At 40.6% G+C, this 15,978-nt stretch overlaps 1 protein-coding gene across 8 annotated transcripts in view, besides 1 other annotated feature; it reads left to right on the top strand.

The window, feature by feature from the left end:
• DPP4 (dipeptidyl peptidase 4) overlaps nt 1-15,978 on the top strand; it is an 81,971-nt gene that overhangs the window by 43,609 nt on the left and 22,384 nt on the right. For 7 of the 8 annotated variants that reach the window (NR_166822.1, NR_166825.1, NR_166824.1 and 4 more), the window contains 8 exons: nt 5,668-5,803; nt 7,808-7,852; nt 9,919-10,026; nt 10,311-10,378; nt 11,331-11,384; nt 11,757-11,878; nt 13,452-13,499; nt 13,741-13,839. Coding sequence is in view for 4 of the 8 variants with exons in the window: in NM_001379605.1 (NP_001366534.1) it covers nt 5,668-5,803; nt 7,808-7,852; nt 9,919-10,026; nt 10,311-10,378; nt 11,331-11,384; nt 11,757-11,878; nt 13,452-13,499; nt 13,741-13,839 (680 nt within the window). In the remaining 4 variants the exon portion in view is untranslated. The remainder of the gene's footprint in view (nt 1-5,667; nt 5,804-7,807; nt 7,853-9,918; nt 10,027-10,310; nt 10,379-11,330; nt 11,385-11,756; nt 11,879-13,451; nt 13,500-13,740; nt 13,840-15,978) is intronic. The other variant, NM_001379606.1, reaches the window with a different exon arrangement.
• Nucleotides 3,672-3,841: an enhancer, noted in NCBI's record as "experimental_54939 CRE fragment used in MPRA reporter constructs". NCBI's record gives its function as "activates a minimal promoter by MPRAs in K562 erythroleukemia cells, with activity observed for both the introgressed and non-introgressed 2:162883361 variant alleles {active_cell/tissue: K562}" and the evidence as "EXISTENCE:reporter gene assay evidence [ECO:0000049][PMID:34662402]".

Here is a 15,978-nt window from a genome sequence, read left to right as displayed (position 1 = left end):
CCAGCAGGGCCAAGCAAAACCAGGTGAGTTACGCCTCTTAGTAACCTGCTCAGCCTGTTACCTGGTGATTTACTAGTTCCTGGAGTGGGAAGCCTGGCCAGGATCAGTGCCTCTCCTTCCTCTGCCCATGTTACCCTCATTAGTTTTCCTGTTAGGCCATATCCCTTCACCACAGAGCCTGCAGCAAGTGAAATCCACAGGAGGATGAGGCTGGTTTGTGACTTTGTTAGGAATTAGCAGAAATGGGTGGAAGCCCTGCTTCTCTGATAAGTGAGAAGGGCAGCCAGGCTGCGTTTCCAACAACTAAGGCCTGAACTTGAACCAGGGTGAGTCTCCCTGCTGCCTGCATTGATTTAGTGCTAAAGTTGATTAGATTTGTTATGATGCTATTTTGTGTTCGTTGTTCATAATGAGAACTGGAAAGCTCAAAAATTTGAAGGAAAACAGCACATAATGTAAAATCATAAATCTCCTAACTTTTATCTAGAGCAGTACATTCATTGTTGACTGAAGTAAGACAGGTTCTACGCAGTAGAGGCCAATCCTGCAATCGTATCTCCAGTGTGTAGTAGGGTGCCTGCGACATAGCATATGCCCAACCAATATTTGTAGAATAAACTAATAGATAAGCAGAGGATGGATGGATGGGTGGATGGATGAATGGATGAGTAAGTTATCTAGATGGCTTTGTGTGTATAGAATAGTGGTTCACGCTGCCAGCACTATGGATAGACTTCAAAATGACCTTGCATAGAAATCCCTCCTTTTATCTCCTCTCTGCCAAAAATTCTGTGGCCTGAATCTAGGGGATTGGAAAGGGCATGTTCTACTGTAGTAACCCCACCCAACATCTGTTGAATGGCTCTGGGGCTCATCACACCCAGCTCATGACATACCCCATCCCTGCTCTCTCTGCTCCTGGATGACACAATAGATATAAAGTCTTGCTGTGTCTTCTCTGAACTGTTACGACCCCTGGCCTATAAAGCTGCAACATCAAAGCCTCAGATTGTCACACAGGATATAAATAAACTGGAAGCTAGTGACATCTGCACATTAGGACCTGCATGCTACGACTGTGCGGGTGTACGGGTGCTGCAGCCCTCAGATCTGCTTCATCTCATCCCACCCATTCCTCTCCTGAGGGATTTGTCAGCGAACCTGGGAGGGTTGGCATCCCCATCAGAGCAGAGGGTGGCATGGAGCCTGAGGCCAGCACTGGCAGTATGCCCGCTTCCTCGGGTGATTCACTGAATTAATCATTCCACGGTTGCAGTTGCTCTTTGTAGCATTTTTCCCTCCAATATGATTTCCAGTTGATGATAAATACCTTATTTTAAGTATCCTTAATGTACCAAAAGAAACATTTACACAAATTAAGGGAATTAATATTACCCAACAAACATTTATTAAATGCTTACTGTTTGCAAGGCATTATGCTGGGACAGGTGGTCACTTTACAAGGGGATTCTCTGTTGTGTGATTTTCAACAAGTCTCTCTCAGTGCATTCACATATAATTTGCCTTATAAAATTAATTTAGTTTACACACAAGCTCTCTAGGAATAGATTTCTTTAAGTGAGGAACTTTATGCTGAAAAGAAACAAGAAGGTGAAGCTAGCTAGCAACATTTTCCAAATGGATGGGTGGAGGTTTCATAGAGGGAGCGAGTATGAACTGGGAATCTGAAGCCAACAGCTTGAATTGAATCCCGGCTCCAACACTTCCCAGTTGGGCGATAGTGGGCAAGTTACTTAAATCCTCTGCTGTTAAGTTTCTTTGTCTGCAGAGCATGATCTGCAGTACTCACCTCATAGGGTGGTCATGAGCTTATGTCAAGCACTTAGAATAGTTCCTGGCACATAGTAGACTCCACATGGGTGTGAACTTATTATTTTACATCCAGAAATTACTCCGTCATTTTAGTATTAAAATCAACCATATTCCCGTTGGACTAATCCAGCTGCAGAAGGTAGAAGAGCTTGCTGGCTCATATGTCTAACCTGGGTAAGTTGTCCAGGCTCTCAGGAAGGCCTGGACTGCAGGGGTGGTCCCTCTTCTACCCCACCAAAACCATTACATAAGAAAGCTACTCAGTATTGGCCTGTTTTTGCAGAATAAAAGCAGCATGCAGTATGCAAAGCATAGATGATAATCCTGCTGGTTGGATTTTTCTGGTTTTAAGTGGGACTTAAACTTTTCAGTAAAAAGTACAATTGAGCCATTGGCTTTATTTATTTATTTTGAGATGGGGTCTTACTCTGTCACCCAGGCTGGAGTGCAATGGCATGATCTCGGCTCAATGCAACCTCTGTCTGCCCGGTTCAATTAGTTCTCCTGCCTCAGCCTCCCGAGTAGCTGGGATTACAGATGCGCCCCACCATGCCTGACTAATTTTTGTATTTTTAGTAGACACAGGGTATCACCATGCTGGCCAAGCTGGTCTCGAACTCCTGGCCTCAAATGATCCACCTGTGTTGGCCTCCCAAAATGCTGCTATTACAGGCATGAGTCACTGCACCTGGCAGTTTTTTGTTTTTTTTTTTTTTAAATGATTCTTTGACATCTCAGACTGGCATAATCTTGGCTCAAGGCTGCCACTGAAGGGAAGTATGTTTATAAGAAAATTCAAAAATTCCTGTCTGCGCCACGGGTGAACTGCCTTGCTGAGCATGCACAGGGTGCAGAGTACACCTGGGGTCATGGAGAGTAACCCAGGCCATGCAGAGTCCAGGACCATAAACCTTTGATCTGAAAATGGGCAGGGAAGATGACTGATGCACGTGAGTTTCCTGGCTGACTTCCCAAATTCCATTACTCAATGTTTTCAAATGGGGAAAGGTTGCTTTTATATTGCTGATTTCTGAACCTGATGTTTAATTTATGACTGTTAATAGATAAAGCTATTTAGTACTGGGTGATCCACTAATTATTGTCAAAAAGTTGTTCCCCCCATCACATACCCCTTCGCTCTACCAGAGCACTTTTAAAAAGAAGAATATTGCTGGAGCCCAAATTCCTAATCTATGCCCATGGAATTTTCAGATGTTGTATGTATGTCAGTGGAGAGGCTTTTCCCACCTAGAGAGAGGTACATCAGTTTCATCAGATTGTCCAAATGGTTTTTGGCCTGAAAAAATAGTAACCACTGATACAGGACAGGGGTTAACACACTAGGGTTTATGGGCCAAATGCAGTCCACTGCCCATTTCTGTGTGGTCCACAAGTAAGAATGGTTTTTACTTTTTTTTTTTTTTTGAGACCGAGTCTCACTCTCACCCAGGCTAGAGTGCAGCGGCTTGATCTTGGCTCATCACAACCTCCGTCTCCCGGGTTCAAGCAATTCTCCTGCCTCAGCCTCCTGAGTAGCTGGGATTACAGGTGTGTGCCACCACACCTGGCTAATTTTTGCATTTTTAGTAGAGTCAGGGTTTTGCCATGTTGGTCAGGCTGGTCTTGAACTCCTGACCTCAGGTGATCTGCCCAGGTTTTACATTTTTAAGTGGTTGGGAACAAAAATCAAAAGAGTAATAATATTTCATTATACATGAAAGTTTAATGAAATTCAAATTTTAGCTTTTCAGTGGAATATTAAATGAACTCATTCATTTAATTATGGTCTCTGGCTACATTTGTGCTACAAAGGCAGAGTGGAGTAGTGACAGAGATGTGGACCACAATGCTTAAAATACTTAACTCTCTGACCCTTAATTGAAAAAGTTTTCCAACGTCTGGTCTAAAAAACTAATTTCAGAAAGCTTCATTTTTCTGTTGTGCTTTTCATACTTCCATTCTCTTTGCACAGATTTATTGCCTTTCTTGGGTAAAGTGTATTCACCTTTCCAGGTTCTCATTTAGCTCCCCTGCATTGGGCAGATGCAGAAGCGTCAGACTGGATGAGATGTCTCTGTTTCCCGGCATGGAAAGTGGCAGTTGCACTCTCAGCCCCTGCAGCCTGGCGGTTTGTGATGAGTGCAATGAGACCTGGCAGAGTGGTGTGGGAGAAGGAGGTTTCCAAGAAGACATCGTGGATGAGGGGACATTTAGGCCAAGACCTAAGGAAGTTAGAGCTTGGCAGCCACTTCAGGCTAAAGAGCAAGACTGAACAAAGAGGGGGCAACTGGGGAAACTCATGGTGTGTTCCTGAGAATACCAGCCACCCAGACTAGGTAGTATATAGTTTCTTCAGAAGCAAGTAAAAGGACTGAAGTGAAAAGGGACCCCAATTTACAGAAATGCAGTGCTCTGCGGCTGAGTGAAGGGGTTCGGTCCTGTTTCAGTACCTGCGCCTTACAGCAGGGTAGCATGGAAGCCCGGTATCACCAGGCACATTCGCACATTAAGTGTTCCCAGCTGTAAAATGGGGATGATGAAGCTGTGAGGGGCTTAAAGGGCTTTATCCAGCACCTAATCCATCCCGAGTGCCCAGTAAATGTCTGTTGTGTGATTAGGTGTCTGCGAAGGGAGTGGAGATGGAAATTGATCTATGAATTCTGAAGAAGGACAAAGCTATGGTCCTTCAGTATGACAATATGACAGGTCCCACAGGTGAGGAGAGGGCTTTGCTTTCTTCTGTGCTGCATTCCACGGACATATAATTAGTGCCTGTGTTGAGTCAGGCATTCTGCTAGGCCCTGGGGACACCCTGTAAAAGAGCTTGCAGTCAAGCAAGGAGAGGGGCAGGTCCAGCCTGTGAAGGAGAGGGCAAGTGGATTGTGTGAGAGCATTTGGGATGGGGAGGAGATACAGCCACCAGACCAGGCGGGAAGAGGGAGATGAACACACTCATTTGGAACTCTCTGACAAAAAAGAGCAAGGCTGCAATCAGACACTCGAGAGCAGGGATTTGTGAATAGTAATCCAAAACCACAATCGGGGAGGAGGAGGGAGAAAAAGCATAAACTATCCATTGCCAATAATGTGAGGGAGGCCAGCAGAAAAGTAAACAATGAATTCCATGCACTTCACTATAAATCAGAAGGTGGTTCCAAAAATTTTTTAAGTATGTGTTGGGGAGGATGCACTACTAGAGATACCTCTGTTTACATAAATTTATGTGAAAATACCACAGGGTTTTTTCATTTCTTTGCAGAGTTCATGTTTTGACTCTTGAGAAATGTCTTTTTAGAATATATTTCTTTGATTTTCAAAGTTTCTGGAGGTGTGAGTCAATTTTTTCCCCTTTGAAAATGAAGTTGAGAAAAGGGTTAGCTGTAGTTTCACCCTAATAGAAAGAATTTTCTGGAGAAGCATGTAAAATACAAGAAACAGTCAAATCTTAGCCAGTGTCTGTGGCCTCACTTCCCTCAAGACAGCAGAAAGGAGATGCGAAAACATTACCCTTGACTCCCTGGCATTACCAAAGGCCAAGCTGAAGACTTGATAAATCCTGAGCTCGTGGTTTGAGTCACGCATGTTAAGCCACTGTAGAATATTGTTGCTGCTTTTCCTGTTGGATATATTTTAATTTTCATTCCAAATTAAATTACACTTTAAGCTTTAAGAAAAGGTGAAATATTATATTAAATGGTTTCATTAACCATTTATAATTCTACTTCCCATTAAGATTGATTTCTTTTCACTGAGTAAAATGTCTATTTGTACCAAGGTCTGGCAATAGTCATGTTCATTCTCTCTCTCTGTCCTTCCTTTCTTTCTTCCTTCCAGGGATCACTACTTGTGTGATGTGACATGGGCAACACAAGAAAGAATTTCTTTGCAGTGGCTCAGGAGGATTCAGAACTATTCGGTCATGGATATTTGTGACTATGATGAATCCAGTGGAAGATGGAACTGCTTAGTGGTGAGACTGAATGGGGATGTTCTGCTTCTAGAGCAACATGTGATCAGAGGGTCTGTGCAGTTGGGGAGAGTGAAGGCTGGGAATCAGGAAATGAAGTTTGAGTTTCTCTTCTTTCTGACTCTGTCTGATCCTGAGGCAATAAAATCTTGAATAAAACTCCTAGATAACCTGCCATCCCGAGGTGCTTCTATTTCTCCTACACTGACTAGTCATACTGTTTTAGTTATGGATACTATCACTTGGGAAGTGGAGAGGGGGTGACTGACCACAAGATAGAATCTGATGTAAATATTTTAAAAACCAAAGAGGGCCAGCACCTGCAAGCTCAACAGAGTGTGTTTTAATAAAGATAATGTAGGGAATGGGGAATAACTGGCTGAGTGTGTGTGAAACAAAACAAATACATGAGGCCACAAACCCATTACCATACTGTCACTGTCTTTAAGCAGGAAACAGCTTTAGAATGGAAATAAATAACTGCCAGTCTGAGAGGGTGGCAATCCTGAGGCCAACTCTGTTCATCCAACCTTGAGGTGCTGGGAGGCTTCTAGCCAGGAGACCATGAGGTCCAACTAGGATGACGGTCAAAGTTAAAGTCCCTCTGGGAGCCTGCAGCCTGGGAGGGGTGGATCCTGGAAGAGGTTTGCTGGCATATGCCAAGGATACCTCCCCAATCCCCCTTATCTAGTCACAGACCCTCTGCCTACACACCTACCATCCCTGCTCTCATCCTGGCTAGGCTCAGGGCAGACTCTCACCTCCCAGACCTGGAGCCTCACATAACTTGATTCACTTATTAATTTATGTAACAAACATGGAATTCCTGTTATGTTCCAAGCTCTGTGCTAAGCTATGGATTTTTTTAAAAAGTGAATTAGTCAGCATGCCTGCCCCCAAAATGTTTCTGTTCTAGTTGGGAATATTATCAAAGTAAATAATAAAAGCTGCCACTTATGGTATACAAGTCACTGTGGAAGCTGAGGATCAACGTTTGAGGAGCTAGCGCAGGTCACAGGGCACAGTCAGAATTCAAACTGCAAAACCCAAGCTCTTTGCTTGCTGCCAATGAAATCCTCATAATACCTCATTGTACCCTAAAAAGGGTTCAACCAAGGTACAGAGGGAATAGAGTGCAAAAGAAGATGATCAGCTCTACTAAGGGCAGGCAGACTGGGGAAGGAGATGATGTGGGAGAGCTATAGAGTAGCCTGGGGTAAGTTGCCGTGTGCTGAGCAGATAAGGACAGAACGCCATAGAAGCAGAGGGCTGTGCAAAGGCATCCAGTGTGAATAGCTTGGAACATGCAGGAACTAGGGACTGGGGGAGAGGTGTAGTGGGGAGCAATGAGGCTAGAGATATAGGCAAAGGCTCAGGTGCCATTCCTGGAGTTTGGACTTATCTCGTAAGAAATGGGGAGTTGTTTCAAGGTTTTAAAGAAAAGACTATCACAATGGGACAGGCCTATCTATTGCTAACTAAGGTCAGCAGAGAAGAGCAGCAGGATCTCCAACAAGGAGATTCTGGCAACAGACCCTGGGCAACCTGCTGAGGACATGAACAAAGCCCTTAGCTGTAGAGAAGGACAGAGAAGTCAAAGAACTAGGTGACAGGGGCTGAAGGAGGTGATTATGAGGAGGGCAGGAATCTAGAATGACCCCCAGGTCTCTGGCTTGGGTGAATAGGTGCCACTAACTAGAAGAAGAATGAGGGAGTAGAACAGGCTGGTGGGACAGAGGAAAACAAATGAAATTCTCTTTAGTTTTGTGCATGCTGGATTTAAAACACCAGTGGAGCTTCCAGAAGGACCCAGGATATAACTTTAGGCAAGAGAGTCAAATGATCTAATGTAATGACTTGAAAAATACTAACATAAATAGAAATATATGAATGGAGATAGCTCTCAGTTATTATAAGTACAGCTCTATTTATATTACCACAAATTATGGCTATAGATTTCATCTGACTTCTCTTTGAAATGCTGTCATTGTCTCTTTCCCTTCCTAGGCACGGCAACACATTGAAATGAGTACTACTGGCTGGGTTGGAAGAGTAAGTGTTATAAGTTGTGGGGTTTTATGGATGAGTCAGCTACTCAGCTATTTGATATGCAGCTATTTAAAACTAGGGCTCTAAGTGATACGTTATTAATAGCAATATTAGTTAACCTATTTCTCAAAATATGTAAATGCTCCCTATAAAGATATCTTTTTGTAGAGAATATATAACACACACAGTTGGAAAAAGTAAGGGGACAAGTGAAAAATCAAAAGCAGAGCAGACAAAACATAGCGCACTCCTGGCAAGTTGTAACTCCCAGCAAGTTAAAGGGTAACCATGGCTGAAAGTTGGCCAAGGTATCCAGTGACCTCACATTTGAAGTTATGTGCTTTAAAGACAGAAAACACAGGTTCTGTCCCCAGCCTGCACAGTTACCTAAGGAGAGGTCACTATAACAAGCAGAAAAACTCAGCAGCAACCACACAGTGCCCACTATGCACCTCTCTTTGGAGGAAATCATACTTGCAGGCTTATGCTTTATTAGGCGTCCAGATGCAGAGCTTTATCCAGGAAAGTGTGGTGACCCTCAGGGACTTGTCATGCTTCTCAGTCCCACTGAGTTATATACACATTGCACAGAATTACCACCCAGATTGCTATGGCCATAGAATGTAATGAGTTGATGAAGGAACTCCAGTCATCATGTCACCTTGCATGGTAGATGAGGAATGAATCTCACTTAATTTTTATGATCACTTCTATTAAGCCCCCTTTAAGAGGGAAATAAAGTGACCCCCAAAATGTAAAGATTTTATACCTCTTGGATCATAGAGGTGAGGTCCCCAGTCCAAGAAGACAACCCCTTCTAGCTGGGCTCAGAGCTCCGGCAGCATTCACACGTCCTTTTTCTTCAGGCATTGATTGGGCAGAGGGGAGAGGTTTGCCAACATGAAAAGTGGTTTCCTCCATGGCAAGAGACACGCTACACTTCCTCACGACTCTTTGAAAAAAATATGTTTTTTCCTCTCTGTATTTAACCAGACAGATGCCACTTTTCACACATTTCTACTAGGCACAACTCCATCCAGGGGAAACAGGGAAATGTATTAAAAAGATAAGGCTGTGAACACAGGTCTAGAGAGGGGAATGTGTTTCAAAGCTCTGTAATGAGAACACCAAGTGTACCGCACGCCTCAGCTTGCTCCATAAATGAATTCGCTTTGAATCACTAAATAGAAGAGGGAAGCATTTTTCTTCCTTCCCAAAATGGGAGCTGATGAGAGAGGAAACATCGAGGGCGAAGTGAACCAACAATTTTAAAAGACCATCTCCTACCTGCTCTCAAATGTAGCTAGGAAATCAAAATCGTAAACCAACATATTCCTTTCAGGCTGGGATAGACTCTCTTCTACTTAAACTGCATTATGTTCTGAGTACTATCTTTTATTGAACTGTAAAAAAATGGAAATTTGTTCTATATTTCTATACAAATATTTTTTGTAAATTGTTGATCATATTTAACAAAATGAAAAGGCTTATAATAATAACTATATGAATGTTTTCATATGAAATATACAACAGACATTCCTTATAGTATGTAGTCCAGAAATGGTTAAATACTAAGTCTGAGTTTCAAAAAGAAATATGTGTAAAAACAGGAAAGAAAAATATCCCCAAATTGCAAACCACCCCCAACCTGAAACAATATAAAATAATATGTCTGTTTCAAGAGAGCACATTTGTGACACTGAGGAAATTTACTGCTCCAAACTGAAAGGTTAATGCTATTTTCCAGGTGCTTGCAGCCAGAAGTCATAGTTATCATCCATAGAGAAAAGATGTCTCCAAATCACAACAACTTCTATTTATTGTTTTCTACAAGCCTCTTTATATACATTCTCTCATTTACTGCTCACGAAAATTACCTATGAGTATGGTGTTTTTGTTCACATTTTATAGAAAGATAATTTTCTTTTTGAGACACTAATTTTAATTTGGCATATAAATGGAGCATGGATTTTTGAGCGTAGGTATTGGACAGGACTTTCTAAAACTAAAGTTGGTACTGAGATGAGACACTGTGCTTTAATGTTCTTTTGTTCTCTATTATTTTCTAGTTTAGGCCTTCAGAACCTCATTTTACCCTTGATGGTAATAGCTTCTACAAGATCATCAGCAATGAAGAAGGTTACAGACACATTTGCTATTTCCAAATAGATAAAAAAGTGAGTATTCTTACATATTTTATTTCATGTTGACCTCTTTTTTTTTTTTGGAAACCAACTTGAAGTGGAAATCATTTGGTAAGGTGGATCAATGTGTATAAAAATCAGATTAATTTAAACTCCTCAGTGGTGTATTGTGTCATGTGGAACGAGGTGGGGAAACCCAACAAGAAAATCCAAGGTTATTTGAATTCCTGATATAAATGATTTAATCCTCCACTTTGAACAGAGAGAGTCTCTAATCAATCTTTTTTTTTTTTTTGAAAAAAAAAAAAAACCATCAGGACTGCACATTTATTACAAAAGGCACCTGGGAAGTCATCGGGATAGAAGCTCTAACCAGTGATTATCTGTGAGTATTGTAACAATTGATAGGATATAAACCTACTTGTCATAATCATGCCCTCTTTGCCCAGAAGTAGGGAAAAAATCTCCTACAAATAAAGAGTAGTCTTTTTGGAATGTGTTCAATACTTTTTTTCTTTTTAACATACGGAAGCCTTAATGATTTTCACATATGCTTAGCAGATTTGATACCATGCCACCAGGCAGCTCTACCTCTTGCTCTTACCTGCTTTACATTACAAGAGCTGTATCCTCTTTTACATGAACGTTGTGGAACGCCGAACTAGCAATGAGGGGCATTTTGTTAAATTTCAGCTGGCACTGATTTTTTGGAAGGCTTGGAAAGGCAATTTTATCTGTCCATGTCCCGGCCTTACTCTTTGCAAAATGGAAAGCTTTGCAGAGGCTAACTGCCATATATGAGTTGGTAGAAAAGGGGGTGTTATTTTTCATTAGAATCTGAGGCACTTTTATGATTCTTTATTGGTCTAATCGCGGAGGAATTTTGCCGCCGCCCGAAGTAGCTTTTGAAGCCCCTCTTTAGCAGTGGCTCTGCTGCTCTCAGGAACATGGGGCTCCTGCCATCTAGTAGCTTATGTTATAAGACAGAAAATACAACGATCGGGATCAATGAGTGGGGTCTCAATTTCAGGCTAGCTGCCTAGTCCTATTTTTTTTTTGACAGAAGCCTTCTTTTGTGTTTTTACTTGTCACTCTAATTAAGGAAGAAATCTCTGGTTTTACATATTTTAGTCTGTTAAGAACAAGACCTTTATGTGTAGAGATGACGGAGAAAAATGGCTTCTCGGGGGTGAGGGACACGGAAGCGATGGCGGAGGGCGGCGGGCACCCGTGCGCGCGCTCCGTGCACACTTAGGCTTGGGGTCTGAGTGCGGTGGATCGCCTCTGACTTCTTAAAAAACATAATTAATATATATTTCATTTTTTTCTCTTCCTAGATACTACATTAGTAATGAATATAAAGGAATGCCAGGAGGAAGGAATCTTTATAAGTAAGAGCTCTGTCAAGTTGTTGACTTGAGTCATTTTAGCTGACGAACAATTTCTGAACTCTATTTTTATTTTTTGCCTTGTCCTAACTAATATTAAACTGGTATTGCTATTGAGCACTTTTTATTCCTTCATAAATCAATCTACATGTCCACAAGAGAGAATGGCTTTATTCGATGTTTTGTGATATTTCCAAACAATGGAAGGTTTGAGGTTACTATTAATTCATGTATTTATTTCATGCTAAAAAAAAAAAAGTCCTAAAGATTGCGTTGGCATGCTGCTGTCTTTGAAACTAGAATATGGCTTTATTCAGTTCCTTCCTCTCACTTATCTTTTCTTCAAGCACTTAATTTCCACCGTTGGTTTTACAGAATCCAACTTAGTGACTATACAAAAGTGACATGCCTCAGTTGTGAGCTGAATCCGGAAAGGTGTCAGTACTATTCTGTGTCATTCAGTAAAGAGGCGAAGTATTATCAGCTGAGATGTTCCGGTAAGTCTGAGCTCCCTGGGAGGGAGGGCAGTCGCCGCTGTTACTCACTTCGAAGCAGCTCCCTCTATTCCTTTTGAATCTGAGGAGCTCTTGAAATCACCTAAGTCCCCTTCTCTCCACTCACATTTAAGTAGTGAGCATAAACAATCTTTTCTTCCCCTTATCACTGAGAGACTTGCATAGCTTGCCTTAGACCGAACACACTCACACATGCACAAACACACACCCTTGTGTATAACAGAAGCACTTCAGCGTTAAATACATACATATTGTGGGGTTTTAAATGATTATTTTATGCACTCGTCCCTTTCAATGAGAAAATGTATGTGGCTGGTGCGTGTCACCCAACATGCTCACTGCTCCATCTTCTGTTGCTGTTGCTATTATTAATTACAAATGAAGAAACCCAGGCAAGGAGTGGCCAAGTGACTTATGCAGGTGGTCACACAGCGAGTTACAGGCACAACAGGATTCAAAACAGGCCTCTGCCGCCCGAGCCATCCCTTTTAAACAGTGTGCCAGGTTACTTCTCAAAATGGGAGAAAGGATCTGGATATTCTGAAAAGAACTGTCCATAGCACAAAAATAAATAAATGTTTTCAAACCAGTTATCTGAGTCTTCCCTCACTAGTATATTTTATTATTATGCTTTTCTTTATGGTTCTTTACTATGACTGACTTTTTTTTTTTAGCAATTATTTCTTGGGCATGCGCTTTATTCTAAGCACTGTGCTAAAAGCTTTATATTCATGATCTTGTTTAATCTTTAAGAAATCTCTATCAAGTAGATATTATTATCCTCATTTTCTATGTGAGGAAATCAAAGCACAGTTCTGTTGTCCTAAGTCACAGAGCTAGTGAGCCAGGATTCATCCCCAGGTATGGAAAGTGCCTTCACTCTTTCTAATCCAGTATAAAAATTAATATTATCATCCAAACACATAAAATTAAAGAGCTCACAAAATAGCTTTTCTATACATTACCTTCCACTCTGCAACTACCACAGTTGGGATAAACAGTGACGATATGGGCTTGTGAGAAAAACACTTTTGCATGCCAGAAAGGAATCGCTTATCCAAGTCAGGCACTGTGCAGATGTGCCGCCTGGCTCTGGGACTCCATGGGAGTGGGGGCAGCGGGGGGAGATCTGTCCCTCCCTAGGGAGGCTGGCTACAGGGCTCTGCAGCCCACCTGGGCAGAGCCTGAAAAACCCTGTGGGATCACGGATTTAGAGTGGGGAAGGATGTCAGCTCACATTTTACTTTGCAGATGAGTATATTAAGTTCAGAGATGATAATGTGCCCAAGGTGCCCAGCAGGGCACAGATTCATTTCCTACTTCATTCTACTGAGCCCTGTGCCTTTCCAGTAATACTTCTTACACTGAAATTGCAACTATTTTAAAGAGAGGGGGAGGAGAAACAGCTAACATGTATTAAACTTCTTATGCATTATAATATTTATATATTCTATCAAAGTTAAATGGTAACAAATGGTATTTTTGAAAAGTCATCTATACTATCTTTTCTAAAAAAGTATTCATCCAAAACATTTTTCCCCCATTGTGTTAACAGGTCCTGGTCTGCCCCTCTATACTCTACACAGCAGCGTGAATGATAAAGGTATTTTCTCATATTTTACTCTTCATTTGTTTCTAAGAAAGTGTGTTGCATAAGTCTAACATGTACTTAGCATTGTGTGATTTTCTTTGGCTTTGTGTCTTGACAATGAGTTGAACACAAGCCTTATAACCTGAAGTATGTGTAGTCCGATCAGTGAATTTCATGTTTGCTCATTATTGCACTACATAATCCACATTTTTCACATTGTAATGAATGACTGCTGTCTCCTGTATTTCTTTAGGGCTGAGAGTCCTGGAAGACAATTCAGCTTTGGATAAAATGCTGCAGAATGTCCAGATGCCCTCCAAAAAACTGGACTTCATTATTTTGAATGAAACAAGTAAGTTAAATTCCTTTGGAATAGTACTTTTCATGGAAACACCAATGCACTCTAACTATAGTAATTCGATCTGAAAATATGTATTTCATATTATATATAAATCTAATTTAAAAGGTTATTTCTCCATGAAATGTTTTGTCACAAGAAATACTAATTTTACATCCTTTTGTCTTAAAATATAATACCATTCTACATAAAACTTATTCTGTCAAAAAGGAAGGGATTTGGAGAACATGCTCTATCGTTAGTTCACTTTTATCCCATTAGTGACTCTATTATTCTACTAATATTAATTGTGTGTTTAACTTAATGACATCCTAGCATATTTCACCTTTAACCCAAAGAGGTCAAGGATATCTGAGATAGTTGTATAAAACAATTCGTGTTGGCTATAAAATATTGAAACTTCAGTCTCAGAAGATAAATTTTGAACTTTTCCAAACCCTGCTGACCTCCCATAGTGTGGTCCCGGCTTGATTGTGTAATCATGGATTATGTTCAGAGACCAGTAAGAACAATGGGTTTCTTTGAGTAGAAAATCTTGTTATTTATTGTTTGTTTTTCTTTATTTTTTCCACTAAGGGCTAACAGCTTATAGGGGAGGGAGGAATCTGTTATATTAGGATTGATTCATTTTAGGCTTTTAAAAAAATTTAGGATAATAGAAAAGATTCAACACATCTAATTTTAAATATCAGGAAAAGCACAGGAAAGTATAGCATCCTCGTGAAAAACAGTTTACATCAGTGCTACTCAAACTGAATGTGCATGTGAGTCTCCTGGGATCTTATATTAAGATGCACATTCTGACCCAGCAGGTCAAGGAAGGTCCAGGTTTCTGGATTTGTATTAAGCTTCTAGGTGATGCTAGTGCTGCTTACCCTTGAGCCACACGTGAGGGGCAAGAGCTTAGAGTTTTCCAGAGCTAACATTGACAACCTGGTACAGAAGGCACTGAATACTGAGATGTGACATTCTATTTCAGTCATGAACACTGGGGAGCCCCTGCAGGTTTTAGGGTCACGGAAGCCACATTAGTAGACGGGTGACTTGAGACAGGATGTAGGATGGAGCTGTGGGGATGGGGAGGTGGTTATAGCCATTCAAAGTACAGAAAGGAGGGATGAAAGGTAGGTCAGGGAGGAGGGAGCCGGGAAGGTGGGACTCTGTGAATAGAAAGAACCCCCCAAACCAAAGACTATACATCTCCAAAAAAGTGGGACTAAAACACCTTCCCATCAACTAATGCCAATTCAAACAAAGCAGAGATCAAATGATGGGTTTTGCATATTCATTAAAAATATCATGGTCAACTGATAGTTTGGTGTTCTATTGAAATTATAATAGAGACTTAAATTTTGCTCTTACAAGCACATTTAATCAGAAGGCATAACAATAGTCAGCAAAATATAAATTGAAGATAAATCTATCTATATATTTTACTCCCAAATCTTTCTTTTCTTTTCAAGTAAAATAATCGTAACAAACATAAACAAAAAGGAAGATAAATGTTAGATAAAAATAGCTCTAGAGATAAGAATTTTTTTGCCTACAGTTTAAATCTACTGAATCTGGAATAATTTTATTTAAATGTGGAAAAACACTTTTTTATAGATCTATTAGTATAACTCATCTTTTATTTGGGAACGAAGGAAACTGACTCATTATTTAGGGACAAATTTTATTAAACTGATGTTAAATCAAGCACAGAGAATGAGACAGACCCGTGGGAGATCATACAGAATGTACGCAACAGTTTGCTCCATATAAACCCGATCTCATTCTGTGAAACACAGAGCTGAAAATGGGAACTCAGCTTTGCGGTCTGGGATGGCAATAAGAATTACAAAAATGTTATTAAATCAGAATTCTAAAATAGAGTTGGGGCCAACTAAAAATCCTAAACAGCTTCAAGGAAATTCAAGAAGAGGAAAACATTTTGGAGGAAAACTTAGAACATAAGCCATAAACAAACTAGATAAGTAGATCGGATGCCAAAGAACAGAATCATAAAAACAAAACATTAGAAATTCTAAGATGCACTTTTATGTTACTAGGCACCAATGTATTTAATAGATACATTAGAAACAACTTTATGTTTTAACATTAACTAGTATTTTAACCTGAAAGAAAATGTTA

The sequence above is a fragment of the Homo sapiens genome, chromosome 2, assembly GCF_000001405.40.
Source record: "Homo sapiens chromosome 2, GRCh38.p14 Primary Assembly".
In the NCBI taxonomy this organism is placed as follows: Eukaryota; Metazoa; Chordata; class Mammalia; order Primates; family Hominidae; genus Homo; species Homo sapiens.
The sequence above is the reverse complement of the archived record's forward strand: the minus strand, read 5'-3'. Positions and strand labels throughout refer to the sequence as shown.